Source organism: Homo sapiens, chromosome 12 (assembly GCF_000001405.40).
Source record: "Homo sapiens chromosome 12, GRCh38.p14 Primary Assembly".
In the NCBI taxonomy this organism is placed as follows: domain Eukaryota; kingdom Metazoa; phylum Chordata; class Mammalia; order Primates; family Hominidae; genus Homo; species Homo sapiens.
In genome coordinates, this window is record NC_000012.12 from 43,457,758 (window position 1) to 43,485,699 (window position 27,942).

The 27,942-nt window shown below is 36.8% G+C and overlaps 1 protein-coding gene across 3 annotated transcripts in view, besides 1 other annotated feature; it reads right to left on the bottom strand.

Moving 5' to 3' along the window:
- Positions 1–27,942, bottom strand: part of ADAMTS20 (ADAM metallopeptidase with thrombospondin type 1 motif 20) — a 199,441-nt gene that overhangs the window by 104,995 nt on the left and 66,504 nt on the right. Inside the window, exons 8-11 of one of the 3 annotated variants that reach the window (XM_011538754.3) lie at positions 10,843–10,948; positions 8,895–9,038; positions 6,834–6,975; positions 5,138–5,245 (exon numbers count right to left, since the gene is read on the bottom strand). In XM_011538754.3, coding sequence (XP_011537056.1) covers positions 5,138–5,245; positions 6,834–6,975; positions 8,895–9,038; positions 10,843–10,948 — 500 coding nt within the window. Of the gene's footprint in view, positions 1–5,137; positions 5,246–6,833; positions 6,976–8,894; positions 9,039–10,540; positions 13,708–27,942 lie in introns of those variants that run through there. The other 2 variants (XM_017019979.2, NM_025003.5) reach the window with 2 other exon arrangements.
- Positions 13,431–13,971: an enhancer, noted in NCBI's record as "H3K27ac-H3K4me1 hESC enhancer chr12:43864991-43865531 (GRCh37/hg19 assembly coordinates)". NCBI's record gives its function as "activates a minimal SCP1, AML or CMV promoter by ChIP-STARR-seq in primed H9 embryonic stem cells {active_cell/tissue: H9 hESC(primed)}" and the evidence as "EXISTENCE:reporter gene assay evidence [ECO:0000049][PMID:30033119]".

A 27,942-nucleotide genomic window follows, 5' to 3' on the forward strand; every position in this document is an offset into this window, starting at 1 on the left:
GCATCCCTTACTTCTATCACTGAAATAGCTAAGTAGATGTCTGTTTCCACTCTTGTCCCCGACAGTTTAGCCTTAACACAGTTGCCAGGATGATCTCTTTTTAAACTAAGTCAAATCAGGTATGAATCCATTCAAATCTTTCATTATTTTACTTTGAGTAAATATGCAGTTCTCACAATGGCCTGTGTGAACCCCAAAAATTTATGACAGGTCTCAGTTAATTTAGAAAGTTTATTTTGCCAAGGTTGAGGGCATGCCCATGACATAGCCTCAGGAAGTCCTGATGACATGTGCCAAAGGTGGTGGGGGCACAGCTTGTTTTTATACATTTTAGGGAGACATGAGACATCAGTCAATACATAAGAAGTACATTAGTTCTCTCCAGAAAGGTGGAGACAGCTCAAAGCAAGCCCCTCCCCACCCCCCAATGGGGACTTCTAGGTCACAGGTAGGTGACAGACAGATGGTTGCATTCTTTTGAGTTTCTGATAAGTATTTCCAAAGGAGGCAATCAGAATATCCATCTATCTCTGTGAGCAAAGTGATGACTTGAATAGACTAGGAAGCAGGTTTGTCCTGAGACGTTCCCAAGTTGAAGGGTCCCAAGATATTTTTCTTTCACACCTGCAATGCCCTACGAAATCTTCCTTCAGTTACTTCTTATAAGTCTCTTTCTCTCTTCACTTCACTCCAGCTAAAATGTCCTCCTTGCTCTTCTTTGAATACTCCAGGCATACTCCAGACTTAGGAGCTCAGCTGTTCCCTTTGTTGGAAACTCATTTACCCCAGATATCCTCATAGCTAACCCTCTCATCTCCTTTAAGACAGCTAATTTGGTAACTTCATATAATGTCTGTCCTGACCATCATATTTTAAATTGCAATCTGCCCTCTCCTACTATAAAACTTCTAATCAGCTTCCTGCTCTATTTTTCTGGTGTGTGGCACCAATCAGTTTGATGGTACTATTATATTAATTATTTGTAATATTCTAGTCTCCCTCTAGAACTTGAGCTACATAAGGGCAGAGATCTTGTTGAGAGACAGGACTAGCTGGATTACCTAGGCTGACTAAGAATCCCTAAGCCTAGCTGGGAAGGTAACTGCATCCACCTTTAAATACAGGGCTTGCAACTTAGCTCACACCCAACCAATCAGGTAGTAAAGAGAGCTCACTAAAATGCTAATTAGGCAAAAACAGGAGGTAAAGAAATAGCCAATCATCTATCACCTGAGAGCACAGCAGGAGGGACAATGATCCGGATATAAACCCAGACATTCGAGCCTGCAATGGCTACCCTCTTTGGGTCCCCTCCCTTTGTATGGGAGCTCTGTTTTCACTCTATTAAATCTTGCAGCTGCACTCTTCTGGTCCATGTTTGTTACAGCTGGAGCTGAGCTTTCACTTGCCGCCTACCACTGCTGTTTGCTGCCATCGCGGACCTGCTGCTGACTTCCATCCCTCCGGATCCAACAGGGTGTCTGCTGTGCTCCTGATCCAGCGAGATGCCCATTGCCGCTCCCCACAGGGCTAAAGGCTTGCCATTGTTCCTGCATGGCTAAGTGCCTGGGTTCATCCTAATCAGGCTGAACACTAGTCACCGGGTTCCATGGTTCTCTTCCATGACCCATGGCTTCTAACAGAGCTATAACACTCACAGCATGGCCCAAGATTCCATTCCTCGGAATCTGTGAGGCCAAGAACCCCAGGTCAGAGAAAACGAGGCTTGCCGCCATCTTGGAAGTGGCCTGCCACCATTTTGGAAGTGGCCTGCCACCATCTTGGGAGCTCTGGGAGCAAGGACCCCCTGGTAATATTGTCTGTTTTGTTAACTCATGTATCCTACAGCAACAGAAGAAAATGAGAAATAGTGTACCTAAAATAGTGCCTGACATAATAGGCCCTTGTTAAATCTTTGCTGATTGAATGAAACCTACAGCCAAGCTTATAGCAGTAAAAATGCTTTGTGCTCTCCATTAGAAAAAGTCATTCAATATAAGAAAGCCATATTAGAAGTGAAAAAAAAATCATAATGTACTATGTGCGTGTGCATTTTGTTAGCATCTTGCACAAAAAATTTAAGTAATCCTTACTCTTTTTAAAAAATAATTTGATAGACTAGAGCATGAAAAAGTTATAACGTTATACTATTCACCATGTAGTAAAATTAACTCATTATCAGAAGGGTTCACCATGGCTTCACACAAATTGATTTACTACCAAAAGTGTTCAGCACACACACTCATTAGATAGTCACAAGATAAACAGAATAAAGAAGAATGTTAAGGCAAAATTATAGAATATTTGTTTCAAATGTCCCTTCAATAAAAGGTTTATTTAATACTGAATACAGCTAAATATATAGGGGTTCACTGTGTTTTATTAATTTAAAAAAGATAATTTATACCTATTATAATCCACATGATGCTACCCCAAATACCACCTTTGCTTTCAATCTGCATTGGCTCTAAAGTAAATCTTAGCATCTCATCACATTTACCTTGAATCTCAATAAATCCATGCCTATCCTACCATCTCATTGGGAAAATATTCAAATGGCTAATAAGCATATGAAAAAATGCATAAGATTGATAATAATCATGGAAATACAAGTTAAAACCACAATGAGATTCCATTTTATACCTAGTAGAATGGCCAAATTTTTTTTAAAGACTAACAGTATCAAAAGTCGGCAAGAAATACAGAGTAATTGGAACTTTACTCCATTGCTGGGGGGAGTCTAAAATGGTGCACATACTTCAGAAAACTGTTTGGCACTGTCTTATGATGTTAAACATACACTCACCCTATAATCCAGCAATTCTACACCAAGAGAAACACAAACGTATGTCTACAAGAAGACTTGTACAGGGATGTTCATGGCAGCTTTATTCATAATAACCAAACACAAGAAATGATTCAAATATCTATTGACAGGAGAATTGATAAATTATAGTACATCTGTATAGCTGAATTATACTGTGGTATAAAGGAATGAACTGCTAATGCACACAATAATATGGATGAAGCTTAAAAATATTATGTTGAACAAAAGACGCCTGTCCCATTCCACTCCTTCAAAAAAGATGACGCTGTATAGTTCTACTTACAAGAACAAGAAAAAAACGAATCTCTGGAAATAAAAATCAGAATAGGAGTTTTCTCTGGAAGGAAGGAGAGTTGCCTAGATAAGAGGCACAACTAAATTATATATATATATATATATATATATTTTTTTTTTTTTTTTTTTTTTTGAGACGAAGTCTCACTCTTGTCCCCTAGTAGTGCAAAGGCGTGATCTCGGCTCACTGCAACCTCCGCCTCCCAGGTTCAAGCGATTATACTGAATCAGTCTCCTGAGTAGCTGGGATTACAGGCGCCTGTCACCACGCCTGGCTAATTTTTGTATTTTTAGTAGAGATGGGGTTTTGCCTTGTTGGCCCGGCTGGTCTTGAACTCTTGATCTCAGGTGATCCGCCTGCCTCGGTCTCCCAAAGTGCTGGGATTACAGGCATGAGTCACCGTGCCCAGCCACAACTGAACTTTTTAAAGTGATAGAAATGTTCTCATTTTTATTGGGATGTTGGCTGTATGTGCATCCACATTTGTTAAAATCCATCAAATTGTATACCTAAGATCTATGCATTATACTCATATATACCTTAATTTCAAAAAATCATGTTTATGCCCTAACTGGATTTAGAATATTAATAAATTAGCTATAAATAGTATATCTCTTAATATTTGTAAATATATCAATCACACTTTTGCCACGAGCAATCAATCCTGAAGGTTCATGGCATACAGTAACTTGAAAAGTTGCTAAGGAACAGAGGAAGGTGCCAGTCCTGGATTTTAATCAGGTGAACATCTTGGAGCACATCTTCAAATGTGCCCATATCAGCAGCCCAGCATTCATACTTCAAAAAGATTTTTTTTCCTCTGCTGAGCCTCAGGTAGTCACTCTCACAAATACCACCTCTTACTCAAAAAGCTATTTACTAATACTAGTCACAGGAACCGAGAAAAAAATAAAGTCCTTTAAATAACTCTTATCCACCAAACAGAAACATTATATAAAGATTGAATTTTAAAATTCAAAGCCAGCTGAACTGAAAAAGCCCACTAGAACTTTCGTCCTAAAATTACAAAAAGGTTATTAGTGTGTTAGATGATTTCAATGAGTACTTCAGCTGCTACAAAACTTGAAGTTCCAAATAATATATTAGTAACCAATTAATTTGTGATGTGAGCAATATTCACAGGAAACACACACCTTTTGATGCAAGTGATTCAAGAGAAAAGCAATAGCTATTATAAATATTTCAAGGAAGCAAGAAGTGGTAAAGGCAAAGTTCAGCTACTGAACTGACCTTATTTTTAAGCAGTTTATCTTTTTTGGCTAATGTGAAGGTAACAAAGAGGCACAATTAGCCAATCCATTGCCAAGGAAGTGTTCCTTTTACACTGAGGGAGCTCAGAGATGCTGACAGACTAAACACTTAATGTAGTCAACACTGGCCACTGAGGCCATCCTGGAGCACAAAGTACACTCTGACTTCATCCTCTCACAAGACACTTTTCATTATCATGGTGAGCGTTATTCAACATCATGTTGACAGCTTTAGATAAGTTCATGACTGTTGGAATAATAAAGACCTAGCATGGTAGGTGGTTGATTTTAGCGGTATAATGTATCTTGATACACTTAGAAACAATAAAGGTCTAAAGAAGCCACTTAAAACTTTCAATTGTATTAACGGAATTTTAAGGGAGAAAACGTATGAAATGAAAACATCCCTGAATTTGGAGAATTTGCCAAAATATTAGGACTGTTATATCTGTCCTCAATTTTAATAATAATGTTATAATATACATAGATAACTATATATCCATGTAATTATTTATATGCTAACTATACAAAACTTTAATATTCATCTGCCATAGCTTAGAAATAGGGTAAAATTAAAGATTTAATTCATTGACAATGTACTATATCAAACAAACATGGCAATAACATTAATTCGACTAGCTGAAGAAAAGTTGACAGCAAATAACAAACAGAGTGCTAAAATGCAGAGCAATCACATCCTTGGATAATATCTTCATACAAGACTCACCCTTCAAGAAAACCTACCATTCCAGGACCGCAGTCTGTTCCATCTGCTGGTGGCACGTGTTGAGTGAAACAGCCTTTGTGAAGCTTTTCTGTGCTTGTGCACCACAGATGCATGCATATATTCTCCTGAGTAACAAAAGGCAGGCAAGCCAGTGTAAAGATAACACCACAACACTGGTTCAATTCAGTATTACACATTGATTTATAAATTGATCTGTTACCTAGTTCCATGGTATAAGCTGAAACTAATCAGCAAATTTTTTTACTAAGTTCTAGTCATTAATTTTCTTCTAAATACATAAAATTGTGACATTTTCTTTAAAACTTTTTAAAAAAATTTTATTCATACATTGAATAGGAGTTATGAATTGGAGTGGAAATTTTCAAAATTATTTGAGATAGTTTTCTCTCTTTACAAGATATCTTTCTAAAGAACTTTTTATTGTTAAATATTATTCATAAGAATTTGCCAAAAGCCGCTTTTGATACAATAGTGGAATGTATGAATAATCTGCATTGAAATAATGTATAATGTATACTGAAGTTTCCTATTTTGTGAATATAATGCATACTTTCAACTTTTGAACAAAGGGCTCTGAAGGTTTCGAAAGAAACAAAAGTCCACAGAGAGTCATACGAGCTATACCCAATATAATTCCTTTCTTTTTCTGAATTTAAATTCAAAGTTTATTTAGTGTCTAAATCAGATTGGAAAGAAATGTATCTTTTACAATGATATTTTAAGGTAAATCTTCCCCATTTCACAGTAAATGTTTAAAGGCTTATTGAAATTTAAGGTTTTAGGAAGAATAGTCGCTATATGAAATAAGTTTTGCCTGTCCTACATTCTCTAATTAATTAATTCTTTCAACATTCAATAAGCATTTATTTTGTGGCATATACTGTGCAACAAATCCTAAACTGGACCCTAGGAATAGATATAGATATTTATTTTAATGACTGAATAAGTCTACATTCCGGAATTGGTCCAATGATCCTCACAACCTAGTAGGGAGGGAAGCAATTAGGCAAAAATATATAGGGAATAAGGAAAACTGAATGAGTACTCTACATGGAAAAGTAAAGCATGGATTCACCAAAGCAGTGACATTTATTCTAAACTAAATCCTAAATTTACCCCCATATAAAAGAAAATCATAATTATAGATCTAATAAAAGTGTTAGGATCAACTATTTCAATGACAAAGGTATCTCATCTATGAAAAATCCTCAAAATATTATAAAATAATAGCTCAATGAAAAACTAAACAATATGCCCCAAATTTAATTCTTTTGAATTCAAATATATGTAAAGGAAAATGTACTCTATTAGTTAGATTCCTGGTGCCTTTAAAACAATTCAGATTCAACACACCTATATTTTCTCCTTAACCTCAAAATAATATCATTTGAAAATAAATATTTCAATGATTTTATTTTCAAATTATATAACTTCCCTATTTTCTAAATGAGAATACTTCATAGGAATTTGAGAGTTAACAAAGATAATTTTTAAGTACCCAAAACAGTACCTGACACATAATAAGTAGTCAATAAGTTTTAATTTTCCTTTTCTTAACCTCTTTTTGATAAATACTAAATTATCAGACTTAAAAGCTATATTTAGTTCAAGAGAATAAACACATTTTGAAATATATTCTAAGATAACTTTATGGCAGTTTTCGAACAAAATAAAGGAATTTTCTTTTCTTACTATATGGGGACACATTTGTGACCCAGGACCAAACGCAAGCTCACACTGCTTGTTTCCATCATATCGTGATCCAGGAAGTTCTGAAGGCAGATTATATATTTCTTCATCTGGTTTGTCAAGAAGACATTCCCCGTAACCAGTACTGTAACAGTGACAGAAAATAAAATATTGTGAATACACATGGATGCATTCCAGTATGATTCTTTATCACATTTTTTGTAGTTCTTTACTTTCAAAGAGAATATCAGTATTTATTCATAACTTTAAAAACCAACTCACATCAATATCAGTATAGCAATGTTCGTACACATAAGGATGACCTCACAGTTTACAAAGGATCTTTAATATGCATGTTTGCACTTAATCCCCACAACCATCTTGAAGGTGGCAATTTTAAAAAATGATAAGCAATAAACACAAATTCATCAGAACATTATTTATGAAACATACATCCATATCACACTTTTGGTCTACTTTGCTATCCAATAGTAATGCCTCAAGTGTAATGACTAACTGTTAAAATGTTGGAAAAATAAGTTTTAAAATCACTTGAGAAAGTATATTTCTAGTCCTAAACAACAACAACAACAACAAAGAAGCTTCAAAAAGTTTTATGCTGTCTCCACCTCAAGAGGTCTTTCAAGGTGGGAGTATAGCAGAGTCAAGATCACTGGCTTTGGGAGCTTACATTTTGGTTCCCATCAATTCCTAAGATGCATGGCCATGGAAAAATTTTTTAATCTCCCTCTCTCCCTGAACCACAGTCTCCTCATCTGTAAATTGAGAGTGGTAATATCTTTTAACATGCTATCAGAATACATGATATGTTTGAATGACTTAGGAAAAACATGAGAAATATACATATTACTCCTAATTTACCATGCAATGTCCGGTATGCAGAAAGCTCTGTGGAAATATACAGCTATTCCAATTGGGCTAAGAGCAACAATTTGTCCCACTGCAATAATTAAAATAAATCTTTTTTGAAAAATTTTACTGGCTAAAAGGAAAAATATAAATTTTCCAATTAAATGAACATGTAAGCTTAAAAATTTCCTTTGAAGAAAATCAAAATATTACTCCCTTCTAAAAAGAAAAGTGCACCATTGGTATTTTTACATGTCACATCAGTATTTTTAACCATTGAACAAAGCTATATACAATTCTGTACAGATCAGCAAGTATTAAGTTGTGCTTTTAAGTCAAGCTCCTATAGAAGTATGTACTATCACTGTTGGTTATAATTTGAGGATATATTTATAAATATATGTTCCAAAGCATGATTTTATTTTTCCCCATAGGTTTCATAAAGAGGGAATTAGAAAATAACTGATGATAATTGATGATTTAGAATACATCCATAGAAGAAGTGAAGTAGTGTTACATTTATACAAAAAGATTATTGGGAAGGAGCTCAGGCTTGCCTTTTGGAAAAGTTTCAGTGACTGAGAAAGAAACACCATTTGGATAAAAGAAATTGGGAAGCAGAGAAACCTGAAGGAAGGTGGAGAAATGAGGCAAGAAAAACCTGGATCTACTACCTCTCTGCAGAGCTAGAAAGAGCTCCTGAAAGAATATGTAAAGTTAGAGACTTGGCATCTCTGTGGCTTTAGAGAACTAACAGAATAATTCGTAGTTTGACTTTAGCTATTCTCTGTCCTTCAGGGGCACCTCAAACTTGAGCCACTCAAATTTCTCTCAAAATATTACCTAGTCACTTCGAAAAAATTCAAAAACACATAAGGAAACTGGAATTCCCATTAAGTCTCCCATCAAACATAGTTTTCATCACAAGAAAGAATCCAGAATAAAAAAATAATAGCTAGGTCTAAACTACAATAAAAATATTTATTTTAAAGAGTGAAATTATATACATGTATATATATATATATGTACACATGAACACAACTCTTCTTGTTCTTAAACATCCATTTGTACAGTGAAAGTAAACATAAATTTAAACAAGAAAAAGCTAAACAGAAATTGAACCACCTTTAAAAATATCAATTTCAAATCTTATAATCGAATACATGTTCAATTATTTAACATAAATTTACTTACTCTAGGAATTCAGTAACATATTTCCGACTACAGTTTGACCAGCTCCAAGGACTCATGTGAAAACTTAAAGCAGGGGCCATTACATGATACTTTGTAACTTTCATTTCTTTACATCTAGGATTATCATCATGTTGAACACCAAGTCTAAAAATAAAAATAAACACTTAAAAGGAATATCAAAAGATGCTTACGATATTAGTAATAGATCCTTTATAGTCACATTATAATACAATATAAAATATAGATAAATCTGGTTATATCATAATTTGAACTCCATCTATCCATAAGGCCTTAACAGTGTTCATGTTTAGAAGTACCTGATGACTGAGAAATATTATAGGCTGGTGATCTGGCATCTGAATCTACACAATCAAAATATTTGGACTCTGTTGCACCTCATCACAATATGGACCACAGCATTGACATAAAAGTGCCTGCAGGTTCAACATGGATATCCCATGTTGTGGATAGAGAAGTGTGTGGATAGAGATTAGGTAAAGGTAATACCACACTAAATTCTAGACCATTGACTATGGCTACAATATCACAAGAACTTCGTGAATCCCCAATTCTCACCATTCTACAGTATCCATCTATTTTATATGAAAGACCCTAAATACTATTTTAGGTCCATACTTCCTAAGTGATGCCCAACAGAACTAGAATAATAAAAACATTCCTAAAGGGCAGTCACATCTTCATGACTTAATTATTAAGTAATTAGCAGGTTGGCAGCAGATCCTATACAATTTGGGGGGAACTCAAGTATAAGCTCAAGTTTAGAAGGAACACTGAAACCACTTAATTCAGATCCTTGCCTGCTAAAATTTGTATTTAAACAATCTTTTAAATTAAACAACTTACCCATATACTAGAGACACCTAAAGAGTTTCTCAGGAAGAAAACAAATATCTAAGATAGTACTCTCTGCAAAAATCGTCTTCTACTGGTTAGTAGCCTTGAAAACCAGCACATAGTGCCACCCAGATGTTGCCGCAATACTTCTACTGTCCTCAGATATTCTGTTCATCCTATCCCCCGACTTCATAAACAACTTACAAAATAAAGTGTGTAGCTTGTTGATGATTATGAGATATAACCATGCAAAAAGGGAACTGAAGAGATGATCGTTTACTAAAAATTATCTCCATTTGAAATTATTATTCCCCTTGAATGTTCTAATGATTTCTCAAGGCATGACTAGGAAATTAAATGTGGTCAAACTAACAGAGGCAACTCTAGACTCAGGTCCTTATTAGCAGATAACAAAGAAACACCAGGAGTTCTGAGGGGTACATTTAGAATCTTTTTTCAGAGGATACATTTGTAGGGGTTTCTGATTTTCCATGGGAGCTCCAAGGGTATCATGAGAAATCACGGCCTCTATTCTTACAACACAGAACCCCAGCATATTTTTCAGTAATACAGGAAAAGGTAAGAGAATCCCAAATTTTTATGAGCAACTATGGAAAAAGTGAATACTTTAAAAAAAATCTTTTAGTAACTAAGAAATTCCCATGGGCAATATCCTCTGTTGGGGCACATTACTGAGAGCAAGAAATGAGTTGGTATTACAAATATTTGGGGGAGTCCCCCAGAACCAGGAGCCCATGCAGGCCCTCCCATAAAATGGTAGAGGACAGTACCTGGTCATATATAGGATAACAAGAGACAGAGGCCAGAAGTGCTTGTCATGTATCCAATACAGTAAAGGAAATAAAAGAACTCCCAAGTTCTAGTTCTTTGCTTAGTCTGTTGATCTGTGCAGCCTGTCTGACCTAACATAGATCACAAAAGAGCCAGAGTTAGCATTTCAGGGAAGAAAATTACACTAATAACATTTTATGAAGAAACAAAGGTACTAATTACTCAACTGAAGATAGAATTTCAGGCATTCTGTGCAAAGATAAATAGAATGCACATTAAGGAGGTGACAGAAGGTACTTACGTGTGCCCAAGCTCATGGGCTATAGTAAAAGCAGAAATGAGTCCTTTTTCTTCATTAATAAAGCAGCTTTGTAAAGGATCACATATGGTACCTAAATATGATAAACCTGAAAAATTTCACATTTGTATTTCATCAAAATGGAAAACACTACCAAAATCATAAAGAACTTAATTTTGAAGCATTTAACCATTGATGTTATTACTTAGAAAAGAATGCAGAATTGGCTGTTAATATTGAATAAACGTTTTAAAAGGTGAAAAAGAGAATGGAATGATTTATTTGCAGTTGAAATCATCTTTGCAAATTTTGGGAATCTACTGAAGTAAATAATCCAAAATGTAGAGTGAGCAAACAACTTTTTAAATATTTTTAAAAAATTTTTAAAAAGAAAAGAATATTTGCAGGAAGTATGAAGTGTTTTAACACATTAGCGTGGGTAGCAGGAAAGAGATTAAATGTGTTGATTGGTAATAGAAAAGCTAATAAGAGAAAAAAATGGCACAGAACTCTACAAATCTATGAAGTTTCTTTACTTTTTTAAGGTTTAAAGCAGTATACAAATATTCAATTATCACATGACATGAGTAAAAAATAAGTGGTCAGAATAATGTCTGGCATTTAATATATGTTAAATAAAATAAAACGAGTTTATAATATAAGAATTACTGCCGTCACTGAATAATTTTGTAACATTTCCGCAATAGGAAATGTATTGCAAATCAGGATATATTTAGTTCTATGTAAAGAATAACATGCAACTCAAATGTGCTGTTGAAAGATGAAGGTATGAACTGGCTGGACACCAAAGACAGCAATAATTATCATATATGCAGTCCTCTAAAAATAATATAGGATAAGAAACTCAAAATAAATATTCATTACAACAATCCATACTTCACCACCAATCATGTTAGTTTTTCATTTACTTATTTTTTAGCTTAACATAATCCCATGATTTTGCTATTATTACCCTTCAATTTGGTTGTAAATTTATCTGCTTTCCTAGAACTCTTCCTTTCACAAAAAAAAGATTTTTTCATAGATAATCAGTTTCTTACTGTAAAGCTTTTGCATTTAGAAATGTCTTAATATAGAATAAACAGACTTCATTAGCTCCTAGTTTAGCTCTTCCCTGCTATGTCATCTTTTATTCTTAGGAGTTAAAAACTTGAACATCTTCCTAGCATTTAAGGTAGATGTCCTAACAACTAGAATGTTTTTGTTGTGCTTTAAGAGAAATGGAAGTTAAACTGAGGAATCCAAATAAGCTGGGGAAAAGCCAAAAGATGAAGAAGTTCATTAGCCAATACTTTTTAATAAAAAGGAAAGATTTGCTCTCTTTCTGACCACACCATCAAAAGGTCTTGCTTCGGCAAGGTCCCTCCAGAAAACGAGCTTTTTCCTTACAAGGAAGACTAAAATCAAGCAAGGAAAAAAATTAAAAAGAACAAAAAAATTATTTCTCTGTAGAGAAATTATTTCCTCTGTAGAGTGTGAGGGAATTACTGGTTTCCTTAAGATTCTACAATTCATGCTTGCATGTTCAGTTGTTTAGTGGATCATCATCTTATTATATGTTTCTCTTTTGTCAGGATAAGTTTAAGGGAAACGCATTTCTTTCATGGACATCCTACAGTAGGATTTATTAGTATTTTCAATTTGCCAAATTACACAATTCCAATATTTTCATTTTTAGCACTATGCAGATATTTGGAACACATTATTGAGTCCATTACCAACCAAACTTTATGTTTCATGCTTAAAGGTATATACATTTTAAACTGAACATTTTAGTCACATAAGAGATTTGTAAAAATATGTATCAAATATGATTAGAGACCAAGCTCAAATATTCCCGTAAGCAGGCAACACCTACAAAACTCAAAGTAAATGGTTAATATTATGGAAACATGCCGCTGGTTGATGGTTTGTGTCTAGACTCATTCAAGCTAATTCTGGGTTCTCTAAAAGTTTAAAGATAGAATAAGGCAGCATGGGCCCAAGCTTGATACAGGTTCCCTGTGTTTGGAAATACAAGAAGCTGCATACAGCCACCCAATCTAGCCATCCTGAAGAATGAAAATCATTCTGCAACATATTTTGCAAAACATGGTCAGGGACTGAGGCAACAATAAACGTAAATGGAGATATAACAGAAAATCTAGTAATTACTACCAACATTTTGTGTTTATTATTAAGAACTCTCCTTAGTTTGTTATTTTCACATATTTCAGATGAGAAAATAAAATACTAACATTTGCATTAATATAAGCTGTGTGGTCTTCTGCAAATTATTCATCCTCATCTATAAAATTAGAATAAGAGTTGTTCAGATATAGTATCTCATAGGAAGCATTCAAATACCTTAACTATCGGGGAGGAGCCAAGATGGCCGAATAGGAACAGCTCCGGTCTACAGCTCCCAGCGTGAGCGACGCAGAAGACGGGTGATTTCTGCATTTCCATCTGAGGTACCGGGTTCATCTCACTAGGGAGTGCCAGACAGTGGGCGCAGGCCAGTGGGTGCACGCACCGTGCGAGAGCCGAAGCAGGGCGAGGCATTGCCTCACCTGGGAAGCGCAAGGGGTCAGGGAGTTCCCTTTCCGAGTCAAAGAAAGGGGTGACGGACGCACCTGGAAAATCGGGTCGCTCCCACCCGAATATTGCGCTTTTCAGACCGGCTTAAAACACGGCGCACCACGGGACTATATCCCACACCTGGCTCGGAGGGTCCTACGCCCACGGAGTCTCGCTGTTTGCTAGCACAGCAGTCTGAGATCAAACTGCAAGGCGGCAGCGAGGCTGGGGGAGGGGCGCCCGCCATTGCCCAGGCTTGCTTAGGTAAACAAAGGAGCCAGGAAGCTCGAACTGGGTGGAGCCCACCACAGCTCAAGGAGGCCTGCCTGCCTCTGTAGGCTCCACCTCTGGGGGCAGGGCACAGACAAACAAAAAGACAGCAGTAACCTCTGCAGACTTAAATGTCCCTGTCTGACAGCTTTGAAGAGAGCAGTGGTTCTCCCAGCACGCAGCTGGAGATCTGAGAACAGGCAGACTGCCTCCTCAAGTGGGTCCCTGACCCCTGACCCCCGAGCAGCCTAACTGGGAGGCACCCCCCAGCAGGGGCACACTGACACCTCACATGGCAGGGTATTCCAACAGACCTGCAGCTGAGGGTCCTGTCTGTTAGAAGGAAAACTAACAAACAGAAAGGACATCCACACCGAAAACCCATCTGTACATCACCATCATCAAAGACCAAAAGTAGATAAAACCACAAAGATGGGGAAAAAACAGAACAGAAAAACTGGAAACTCTAAAACGCAGAGCGCCTCTCCTCCTCCAAAGGAACGCAGTTCCTCACCAGCAACGGAACAAAGCTGGATGGAGAATGACTTTGACGAGCTGAGAGAAGAAGGCTTCAGAAAATCAAATTACTCTGAGCTACGGGAGGACATTCAAACCAAAGGCAGAGAAGTTGAAAACTTTGAAAAAAATTTAGAAGAATGTATAACTAGAATAACCAATACAGAGAAGTGCTTAAAGGAGCTGATGGAGCTGAAAACCAAGGCTCGAGAACTACGTGAAGAATGCAGAAGCCTCAGGAGCCGATGCGATCAACTGGAAGAAAGGGTATCAGTGATGGAAGATGAAATGAATGAAATGAAGTGAGAAGGGAAGTTTACAGAAAAAAGAATGAAAAGAAATGAGCAAAGCCTCCAAGAAATATGGGACTATGTGAAAAGACCAAATCTACGTCTGATTGGTGTACCTGAAAGTGATGCGGAGAATGGAACCAAGTTGGAAAACACTCTGCAGGATATTATCCAGGAGAACTTCCCCAATCTAGCAAGGCAGGCCAACGTTCAGATTCAGGAAATACAGAGAACGCCACAAAGATACTCCTCGAGAAGAGCAACTCCAAGACACATAATTGTCAGATTCACCAAAGTTGAAATGAAGGAAAAAATGTGAAGGGCAGCCAGAGAGAAAAGTCGGGTTACCCTCAAAGGGAAGCCCATCAGACTAACAGCGGATCTCTCGGCAGAAACCCTACAAGCCAGAAGAGAGTGGGGGCCAATATTCAACATTCTTAAAGAAAAGAATTTTCAAGCCAGAATTTCATATCCAGCCAAACTAAGCTTCATAAGTGAAGGAGAAATAAAATACTTTACAAACAAGCAAATGCTGAGAGATTTTGTCACCACCAAGCCTGCCCTAAAAGAGCTCCTGAAGGAAGCGCTAAACATGGAAAGGAACAACCGGTACCAGCCACTGCAAAATCATGCCAAAATGTAAAGACCATCGAGACTAGGAAGAAACTGCATCAACTAATGAGCAAAATCACCAGCTAACATCATAATGACAGGATCAAATTCACACATAACAATATTAACTTTAAATGTAAATGGACTAAATTCTCCAATTAAAAGACACAGACTGGCAAGTTGGATAAAGAGTCAAGACCCATCAGTGTGCTGTATTCAGGAAACCCATCTCACGTGCAGAGACACACATAGGCTCAAAATAAAAGGATGGAGGAAGATCTACCAAGCAAATGGAAAACAAAAAAAGGCAGGGGTTGCAATCCTAGTCTCTGATAAAACAGACTTTCAACCAACAAAGATCAAAAGAGACAAAGAAGGCCATTACATAATGGTAAAGGGATCAATTCAACAAGAGGAGCTAACTATCCTAAATATATATGCACCCAATACAGGAGCACCCAGATTCATAAAGCAAGTCCTGAGTGACCTACAAAGAGACTTAGACTCCCAAACATTAATAATGGGAGACTTTAACACCCCACTGTCAACATTAGACAAATCAACGAGACAGAAAGTCAACAAGGATACCCAGGAATTGAACTCAGCTCTGCACCAAGCAGACCTAATAGACATCTACAGAACTCTCCACCCCAAATCAACAGAATATACATTTTTTTCAGCACCACACCACACCTATTCCAAAATTGACCACATACTTGGAAGTAAAGCTCTCCTCAGCAAATGTAAAAGAACAGAAATTATAACAAACTATCTCTCAGACCACAGTGCAATCAAACTAGAACTCAGGATTAAGAATCTCACTCAAAGCCGCTCAACTACATGGAAACTGAACAACCTGCTCCTGAATGACTACTGGGTACATAACGAAATGAAGGCAGAAATAAAGATGTTCTTTGAAACCAACGAGAACAAAGACACAACATACCAGAATCTCTGGGACGCATTCAAAGCAGTGTGTAGAGGGAAATTTATAGCACTAAATGCCCACAAGAGAAAGCAGGAAAGATCCAAAATTGACACCCTAACATCACAATTAAAAGAACTAGAAAAGCAAGAGCAAACACATTCAAAAGCTAGCAGAAGGCAAGAAATAACTAAAATCAGAGCAGAACTGAAGGAAATAGAGACACAAAAAACCCTTCAAAAAATCAATGAATCCAGGAAGCTGGTTTTTTGAAAGGATCAACAAAATTGATAGACCGCTAGCAAGACTAATAAAGAAAAAAAGAGAGCAGAATCAAATAGACACAATAAAAAATGATAAAGGGGATATCACCACTGATCCCACAGAAATACAAACTACCATCAGAGAATACTACAAACACCTCTACGCAAATAAACTAGAAAATCTAGAAGAAATGGATACATTCCTCGACACATACACTCTCCCAAGACTAAACCAGGAAGAAGTTGAATCTCTGAATAGACCAATAACAGGAGCTGAAATTGTGGCAATAATCAATAGTTTACCAACCAAAAAGAGTCCAGGACCAGATGGATTCACAGCCGAATTCTACCAAAGGTACAAGGAGGAACTGGTACCATTCCTTGTGAAACTATTCCAATCAATAGAAAAAGAGGGAATCCTCCCTAACTCATTTTATGAGGCCAGCATCATTCTGATACCAAAGCTGGGCAGAGACACAACCAAAAAAGAGAATTTTAGACCAATATCCTTGATGAACATTGATGCAAAAATCCTCAATAAAATACTGGCAAACCGAATCCAGCAGCACATCAAAAAGCTTATCCACCATGATCAAGTAGGCTTCATCCCTGGGATGCAAGGCTGGTTCAATATACGCAAATCAATAAATGTAATCCAGCATATAAACAGAGCCAAAGACAAAAACCACATGATTATCTCAATAGATGCAGAAAAAGCCTTTGACAAAATTCAACAACCCTTCATGCTAAAAACTCTCAATAAATTAGGTATTGATGGGACGTATTTCAAAATAATAAGAGCTATCTATGACAAACCCACAGCCAATATCATACTGAATGGGCAAAAACTGGAAGCATTCCCTTTGGAAACTGGCACAAGACAGGGATGCCCTCTCTCACCACTCCTATTCAACATAGTGTTGGAAGTTCTGGCCAGGGCAATCAGGCAGGAGAAGGAAATAAAGGGTATTCAATTAGGAAAAGAGGAAGTCAAATTGTCCCTGTGTGCAGACAACATGATTGTTTATCTAGAAAACCCCATCGTCTCAGCCCAAAATCTCCTTAAGCTGATAAGCAACTTCAGCAAAGTCTCAGGATACAAAATCAATGTACAAAAATCACAAGCATTCTTATACACCAACAACAGACAAACAGAGAGCCAAATCATGAGTGAACTCCCATTCACAATTGCTTCAAAGAGAATAAAATACCTAGGAATCCAACTTACAAGGGATGTGAAGGACCTCTTCAAGGAGAACTACAAACCACTGCTCAAGGAAATAAAAGAGGATACAAACAAATGGAAGAACATTCCATGCTCATGGGTAGGAAGAGTCAATATCGTGAAAATGGCCATACTGCCCAAGGTAATTTACAGATTCAATGCCATCCCCATCAAGCTACCAATGCCTTTCTTCACAGAATTGGAAAAAACTACTTTAAAGTTCATATGGAACCAAAAAAGAGCCCGCATCGCCAAGTCAATCCTAAGCCAAAAGAACAAAGCTGGAGGCATCATCACACTACCTGACTTCAAACCATACTACAAGGCTACAGTAACCAAAACCGCATGGTACTGGTACCAAAACAGAGATATAGATCAATGGAACAGAACAGAGCCCTCAGAAATAACGCCGCATACCTACAACTATCTGATCTTTGACAAACCTGAGAAAAACAAGCAATGGGGAAAGGATTCCCTATTTAATAAATGGTGCTGGGAAAACTTGCTAGCCATATGTAGAAAGCTAAAACTGGATCCCTTCCTTACACCTTATACAAAAATCAATTTAAGATGGATTAAAGATTTAAACGTTAGACCTAAAACCATAAAAACCCTAGAAGAAAACCTAGGCATTACCATTCAGGACATAGGCATGGGCAAGGACTTCATGTCCAAAACACCAAAAGCAATGGCAACAAAAGCCAAAATTGACAAATGGGATCTAAATAAACTAAAGAGCTTCTGCACAGCAAAAGAAACTACCATCAGAGTGAACAGGCAACCTACAACATGGGAGAAAATTTTCACAACCTACTCATCTGACAAAGGGCTAATATCCAGAATCTACAATGAACTCAAACAAATTTACAAGAAAAAAACAAACAACCCCATCAAAAAGTGGGCAAAGGAAATGAACAGACACTTCTCAAAAGAAGACATTTATGCAGCCAAAAAACACATGAAAAAATGCTCATCATCACTGGTCATCAGAGAAATGCAAATCAAAACCACTATGAGATATCATCTCACACCAGTTAGAATGGCAATCATTAAAAAGTCAGGAAACAACAGGTGCTGGAGAGGATGTGGAGAAATAGGAACACTTTTACACTGTTGGTGGGACTGTAAACTAGTTCAACCATTGTGGAAGTCAGTGTGGCGATTCCTCAGGGATCTAGAACTAGAAATACCATTTGACCCAGCCATCCCATTACTGGGTACATACCCAAAGGACTATAAATCATGCTGCTATAAAGACACATGCACACGTATGTTTATTGCGGCATTATTCACAATAGCAAAGACTTGGAACCAACCCAAATGTCCAACAATGATAGACTGGATTAAGAAAATGTGGCACATATACACCATGGAATACTATGCAGCCATAAAAAATGATGAGTTCATATCCTTTGTAGGGACATGGATGAAATTGGAAATCATCATTCTCAGTAAACTATCACAAGAACAAAAAACCAAACACCGTATATTCTCACTCATAGGTGGGAATTGAACAATGAGATCAGCTGGACACATGAAGGGGAATACCACACTCTGGGGACTGTGGTGGGGTGGGTGGAGGGGGGAGGGATAGCATTGGGAGATATACCTAAGGCTAGATGACGAGTTAGTGGGTGCAGCACACCAGCATGGCACATGTATACATATGTAACTAACCTGCACAATGTGCACATGTACCCTAAAACTTAAAGTATAAAAAAAAAAAAAAAAGTGTCAGACATGATACAAGATGATTTAAATAAAAGACCTCTAAATAAAAAAAAAAAAAAAACAATTACCTTAACTATCATTATAATCATTACTCTTGACTTAAGGGATAATAATGCTTTCATCATCACATTATACGTTTCTAAATGTCATTATAATTTATGTACACAGGAGTGGCAGAAAGCTATAAAACCATAATTGGGGACTAGAAGACCAACAATTTCTATAGGAATAGTCCAGAATGTCTAGCATTCAAGCACTAAAAAAATAGTAAGAAATGACAGATACTCAGTAAAAGTTCATACTACTTAAGTTTAAAGATGGGACAACAGGGTATAGATAATGCAAGAAATATATTCAGTAGATTCTTATTAAGTGATCTCATAAAATACTCTTAACAAACCCAGAGAATAGTTTGTAGGGAGGAAGAAATTCAGTCTGTTGTAAAAATTAGAGCAACAAGTGCCTATTTCTACAAGTGTGGAAGACTGGCATTTCCAAAGAACCCCTTAACATAAAGAAACTAGATATTTAATAAAAACTAGGTTTTAATGAAAGCCTAGCTCACATGACTAGTGAGGACTATCAAGTCCAAACCTCAGTGATTTAGCACACATATGCACTCTCTCTCTCTTCTTTGTCTCTTTCTTTCTCTCTCTCTCTCTCAATACACAAGCATGCAGGCATATGTACACACATATACACACATTCATACTTTTCAAATTCTAGGCGGTAAGCAATGAATAATAAGGATAGATGCTATTCTGAGGGCAAATACTGATAAAAGTAATATGGTCCAAAGAGTAAGAGCTTGCTAGAGGAAGCTTCAAGGTGCATGTGGATGTTGAGTTTTCTTCATTAAGCCAGGGACTCAAGTTATGAACACCCTTTGGACTCCAACAAGAAATAAAAATCTCTAGAAGAAAGCACACACTTTTTGAGCTAGCAATTTTTCAACCCCATGGCTTAATATTAAATAAATATAAGCTCAAAATCAAAGACCATCAAACAAACAAATAAATAAGAGAACATACGTAAAAGAAGAAATAAGATGTATGGCTATCATGTATTTCAGATATGTGAATTTTCAGATACGTAATATAAAATTATTCCACATAAGATGTTTAAGAAAATGAAATTCAATTAAAAACATGCACAAATATTTTTTAAATGTAAACAAAACGAACAGGTAGATTTTTAATAAGAACTAAGTAGTATCTTTTACATTGAAAAATATATATATTTTAAAATGTAAAATGTGAAGGATGGGTGAAATACCAGATTAGACATAGCTAAAGAGAGAGCCAAATATACTAATTTATATTAGTAAAATGGAAATTAGAGCTGCTTGAATGAAGCACGAAGAGAAAAAAAATGAAAGCACAGACAGCAGAATGAGAAGATCTAATACAGATGTAGTAGAATCCCACGGTGAAAACAGATAAAATAATAGGATAAAATTTGAAAGAAAAAAATGAAAATTTTCCAAAATTGCTGGAAGATAAACAGTAGATATAGGACTCATGACATAGCCCAAGCAGGATAAATAAAAAGAAACATACCTATATTAGGATGAAGTTTTAATGAAACTGCTTTATATTCAAGACAAAGAGAGGATCTTATAAAAGACAGATCACCAAAAAATCTACAACTAAACCCACTACAGATTTCTCAATAGCAAAAGGCAGGCACAACACAATCATATATTCAAGATATTGAGAGAAAATAACTGTCAACCTAGAATTGGTAACTAGAAAAATATATTTTGAAAATAAGAGTATTTGCCTGTTAAATCAGGAAAAAACTGAAACCTATGAGTTATTTTAGTAAATTACTGAATTAGAAAGAGTGGGTTGTGAGAATCCCTGACTTTGCAGCTAACTCAGACAGATGTGTAGGTACCCTGGGCACCTCATACTTGCAACTGGTGCCTGAAGTAAGGACGGTTTTATAGGACTGAGCGCTTAAACCTGCGGAGTCTGGCACAAACTCAGGGTAGTTAAGTATCAGAAATGAACTGAATTGTAGAGTATTTAGTGTCTGGAGAGTTGAAGAACTGGTTGTTGATGTGGAAAGAACCCATACATTTATTATGAGTGACAACAGCTCAGACACACCAACTCTATTTTTTCTTTAAAAAGCATTATCAGAGATAAAGAGAGTCACTACACAGTTGTAAAAGGTTCTATTCACTAAACTATGTATCTAATAAGTTAGCCTTAAGCTAGACGAGGTAACTAATTGTAAAATTATATGAAGAAAGTGATAGAGATATACTTCATGTTTCAATTAGTAATGTAATTAGTAAATAAATAGTTGATTTGAACTACACAATTAGCAAATTTGATTTAATAGACAAATACAGAACTCAAAGAATATACATTCTTTTAAAGTATACATGGAGTATTTTCTTAAATTGGCTACATAATAGATCATAAAGGAAATATCAAGATTGCAAAGAATATCAATAGATCACATTCTCTAACTGCAATAAAATTAAGTTGTAAGTCAATAAATAAAAATAACAAGTCTCCACACATTCATAAATATTTAAATGCATTTTTATGTAATTCATGAAGCAGCAAATAAATCATGATGGAATTTAAATATGATTTACATACATTTAGAATTTTTAATGACATGGAAAATACCAATAAAAACTTATGGGACACAAAAAAGTGATACCTTAAAGTAAATTGATAGTCTCAAATAATAAAATTAGAAAAGAAGAAATCCTGGACATTAATCAGTTAAGCAATCAACTTACAAATAGAACAGCAGGAGTAAATTGAAAAACAAAGCTACAAGAAAGACAACAAAGAGCAGACATTCATGAAATAAAAATAAGACACAAAAAGCAAATAGTTGGTTCATTAAAAAGACAAATAAACAATATTTCAGTGAATTGACCTATTAAAAAAGAGAGGCACAAACAATATCAGAAATAAATTGAGACACAACTAGAGTGAGAAAGCTTAAAACAATAAGAAAATGCTATGAAAATCATTTAAGCTAATAAATGTTACTAGTAAAAGAAATAGTCAAATATCTAGAAAGAATAACTTTTCAAATATATTTAAGAAGACATAAATAAAATCTGATTTCCACTGGAGAAACTCCATAAATGGTTAACCTTCCGCAAAGTAAATCTTCTAGACTTGGGGAAAAAATAATACACCTTAACTCATTTTATAAGGTGAATGAAACCTTATAATCAAAATTAGAAAACTACACTAAAAGAGAGGAAAATTACAGGCCATCTTCACTCCTGAAAATATATGCATGAAATTAGCAAGTAGAATCTAGCAGTGTGTGGGGGGTAAAGAAGGAAGAGTCTTGTTCAAGGCTGGTTTACTGTTAGAAAAATCTATGCTGCAATAAACATGGAAGTGCAACTGTTTCTTCATCATACTGATTTCAGTTCCTTTCGATATATACCCAGGAGTGGGATTGCTATATCATATGGTAGTTCTATTTTCAGCTTTTTGAGAAATCTTCATACTATTTTCCATAATGGCTGTAGTAATTTACTTTACAGTATACAACATAAGTATACATCAATGCATAAGTAGATAAAGAAAATGTGGTATATATACATAATGGAACACAATTCAGCCTTTAAAGAAGAAGAACATTCTGTCATTTGCAACAGCATGGATGAATCTGTAGGACATTACGCTCAGTGAAATAAGCCAGGCATAGAAAGACAAATATCACATGATCTCATTTACATGGAATCTAAAAAAGTCGAACTCTGATAAGTAGAGAGAAGAATGGTGGTTTCCACATGCTGAGGGAGTGTGGGCAGATATTAGAGGTAGGGAATGGGGAAGTTCTTAGTCAAAGGGTACATAGTTTCAGTTAGACAGGAGAAATACGTTTTTGAGATCTATTGCACAGGAGGGTGACTATAGTTATAATAATGTATTATAATAACTAAGAAAGTATGTTTCAGATGTCTCACCAAAAAAAAGAATAAGATAATAGGTTTGTTAATTAGCTTGATTTAATCATTCCACATTGCCTACGTATATCAAAACACTACATTTTACCCCCAAAAATGTATATAATTATGATTTGTCAACTAAAAATAATATTAATTTTAAAATTCTATGGAATTCACCAGATTAACCCATTTATACAGGAGGTTGCACATTTTTTGTGTGTGAAAAATCAGACCTTGGTGATGACCTTGAGCAGTAGGATATAAATAACTTCCACAAGCTTAGCGTTCCAATAATGGAACACTAGGCCTAAATGGGTTAAGATGAAATAATCATATGATCATTTCACTATCTGCAGAAAAAACACTTAAGAAAATAAAACATGTATCATTTTTTAAAAGACTCAGAAAACAAGGATAATAAATTTATCTGCTAAGAACCTACAGCAAATATTTTTCTTAATGGTGCAACCTTAAAGTATTCCTTTTAAAATCCAGAAACGTCTCTTCATCATTCTATAAGAGATTTTTATCTTGCAGTAAGACAAGAAAAGAGTTATAAGGATTAAAGAAGAGGAAATATATTGCCATAATTCACAAATATAATTATTCACATAACAATCAAAAAGAATCTACAAGTGAAACTATGAGAATTAATTAAAGTGATGAATCAGGTGGCTGCATTTAAAAATCAACAAGCCAAATAATCTGTTGCATTTCTATGGACCGGCATCATAAAACATTTACTTTAACAATAGAAAATAAAAGTCATTTTTTTGTTTTATTTTTTTTCTCCAAGATGGCTAACTGGAGGTATTTTTGGCATGCCTCTCCCACCCGGAAAGACAAAATAGCGTGTGGAACTCACACTGTGAACTTTTTTCCAAGAAGCAACACAGGAACTTAACCGAAAAATGGAAAGAAACCACAGACCCTTTGAAGGAAGCAATGGGCAACAGCCTACATCATGAACCAGACGGAAAATGGAGCCTCCCAAGGGTGAATTGGGGAGAGCCTGCCACCGTGACACACACTCCCACTGGGAAGCCAGGAAATCCAGGCCATGGGGAGAAGGCGTTAACCCTACCCAGTGCTGCAGCTGATTTAGTGAGCAGCGGGGAATATATGAGAAGGAACGGCATCAGTGTGTACTCCCAGTCTCCAGCAGGGATGGAAGAAAGCCATTTCTGATCCATTCTCACAACGAACCTCGCAAAAGTTGGCCAGCTAATTCAGGCAGTGGTCACAGGTTGAGAGAAGCTCCCAAATGAGGTTTGCAATATAATCTCAAGTGGGAACGAACCTCGTTGGCCAGACCAGAGGAGCGAGCCTGAAGTGTGTTGTCACCACGGGGGCAGGAGCTGGACACCTTTGCTTCATGGGCAGACAGGAAAGGGTGTGGCGTGAAAGTCACTCCATCTCCATAGGGAAGGCTTATAGTCTGGGGAAGTTTCGAGTTCTGAAACAAGCTGCCTGAAACCCAGTTAGCTGCTGTTAGCAGATCACTGTGGGTGTAAGACTTGCCTTGCAAGAGTGTGGGAGCTGAGTGGGGCTTACTGCCACCTCCCAGTGTAGATTCTTTTGTGTAGCAGAGGCAGCTGTGCTCCTCCCCGGAACATTACTCCAGCAGCCAGGGAGCTGCCTTCTGCTTCCCACTGGGGCTGCTGCTTGTGCCTACATGTGGAGAGCCAGAGCACAGACTTGCCTGACCCATCCCCAACCTAGCTTTACCCCTCCACCTGCCCTGGTAGCATAACACAAAAGACAAGGACACTTGGGAGTTCCATGGCTCCACCCATTGCCTGAGACATCAGAGTACCTCCCCTGGGTAACATAAGGCAAGCACAAATTCCACTGCTACCACCATAACTGCTGTACTTTTGAAAGCACCATCTCCTGGCTGGTGTGCAACTGAACAGCCAGTTACAACATCTGTAGGTCAGATAACAGATTGTATCTTCTTCCTGGCTCAGGAAGGAGAAAACCTTTGCACAACCTCAGCTGTCACCACTGCCTGCATCAGCCTGGCTAACCAGGAGATCTTGAGTCTGTCCATGAGCCAGTATATCACTACTACAGCTGACATTTGAGAAAGCCAACACACTAAGGCTACTTATAATGAAAGAAATCTCAGAGTCTACGTCACTCCTCTTCCACCTCCATCAGAGCTGGTACTGGTACCTGCTACTGGGAAACTAGAGGACAGGTCACATCTCTGGATTCCTTGCAGACATTCCCCAGCACCAACCTGGGGTGTGGCAGCCTCACTGGGCAGCTAGACCCAAAGAAGCAGCAAGATTCACGGTAGCCTGGCTCTCAGGGACTGCTAATTCTAGGGGGAAGGGGAGTGTTCCATATTAAGGAAGCACCCTGTGGGACAAAAGAAACCAGACTGGAGGCCATGAGCCCCTGAATTTTCCACCTGTGGGGAGTTTCAGCAGAGGCATAGGTACAGTACTGAGCTCAAGAGTCAGGCAGCCCTGGTGCTCATGAAGGGTCTTAGAGAAGGGTACTTCTCCCCCTCACCATCTGTGGACAGCCTTACTGGAGTACTTCAGGGTGACAACATCCCCACAGGAGGAACACCCTCCAGGTCCAGGCTTGCACAAGAGGTAGAGTCACAACCCCTCTCTAAATGGAACATCAGCATTCCTAAAAATGAAATGAGGTGTTTGTCTGATCTGAATAACCAGAACATTGGGTTGGGAATGTGACTGGGTGGTGGATCGCTTTCCTGCTGGCTTGGAAGGAGAGTCACGGTGGCTCCTTCTCTTCCCCTTGAAAAGTCCTCAGTGCAGCTTCCCCAGCCTGCTCTGTCAAGGCTGAGATGTCTGCCCAACACTGGGGTATTGCATTTACTCACCTGCTTTAGCCGCAGCCAGTTTTTACCCATGGGTACCGCTTACTGGCCTGAAGCATGAACTATTCAATCCAGTGAATAAAGTAATTGGGATAAAACACTTTTTAAAGTGCACACCATGGGGCAACAAGATAAGTGTCATGAGACCTCTTCCATTCCAGCCACACAGGAGACAGTGAACCCATAGACCCACCACATCACTACGACTACCAGCATCTGAGAAACCCATTGCATGAAGATTTTCTATAATCAAGGAACTCATACTGAGTCCACCACTGAAAGCAGCCAGAACCAAAGCTAGGTGACAATAAACTATAAACATTAAAAGCACATCCTCAAGGGGGAAAAATGAAATTCTTAAAAAAACCCAGTTGAATCAAAAATAAATACAAAAATAATTAGAAGACATAGTCTACCCAAATGAGAAGGAACCAGAAAAATAATTCTGGCAATATTAAAAACAGGGTTCTGTGACATCCCCAAAAGATTATACTAACTCTCCAGAAGTGGGTGTAAGCCAAAATGAAATCTTTGAAATACCAGATAAAGAATCCAAAAGGTTGATTATTAAGTAACTCAAGGAGATACAATAGAGAGGTGAAAAACAAATAGGATTTTTAAAGAATTCAGGATATAAATTAAAAATGTTCTAAAGAGATATTTTAAATAAAAAAACAATCAGAACTTCTGGAAATGAAAGACACATTTACGAAACTAGAAAATGCAGTGCAAATTTTAACAATAGACTAGAAGGAGTCTAACAACAGACTAGAAGAGATAATTTCAGAGCTCAAAGACAAGACTTTCAAATTAACCCAATCAGACAATTTTTTTAAAAAAGAATGAAAAGAAATGAACAAAGTCTCCAAGAAATATGAGATTATGTAAAATGGCCAAACCTAGGAATTATAGGTGTTCCTAAGAGAGAAGAAAAATCAAAAAGTTTGTAAAATCTATTTGAGGGAATAACTGAGGAAAACTTCTCTGGCCTTGCTAGAGATTTAGACATTCAGATACATTCAGACATTCAGAAGCTCAAAGAACTCCTGAGAAAATCATTGCAAAAAGGATATCACCAAGGCTTACAGTCATCAGGCTATCTAAAGTCAACATGTAGGAAAGAACCTCAGGGCCAGACGGATTCACTACTGAATTCGATCAGACATTCAAACAAGAATTAGTATCAATTCTACTAAAACTGTTCCAAAAGATGGAGGAGGGAATCCTCCTTAACTAATTTTATAAAGCCAGTATTTCCCTGATACCAGTCAAGAAAGGACGTAGCCAAAAAAAAAAAAAAAAAGCAACAACAACAACAACAAAACCACTACTGAACAATATCCCTGATGAATATAGGTAGAAAAATCCTCAACAAAATACTAGCAAACTGAAGAGTGCATCGAAAACATAATTCACCATGATCAAAGAAGTTTAATTCTAAGAATGCAGGGATGGTTCAACATAAACAAGTCAATAAATGTGATTCATCACATAAACAATTAAAAACAAGAACTATATGATCATATCAATAGATTCAGAAAAAGAACTTGATAAAATCCAACATCCCTTTATGATAAAAATCCTCAAACTAGGCATAGAAAGAACATATCTCAAAATAATAAAAGCCATATATGACAAACCCACAGCCACTATCATATTGAACAGGGAAAAGCTGAAAGCATTCTCCCTGAGAAGTGGAACAAGACAAAGATGCCCACTTTCACTACTTCTATTCAACATATTACTAGAAGTCTTAGCCAGAGCAATCAGGCAAGAGAAAGAAATAAAGGGCATCCAAATTGGAAAAGTGGAAGTCAAACTATCTCTGTTCACTGATTATATGATTGTATACCTAGACCATCTTACAGACTCCTCCAAAAGACTCCTAGAT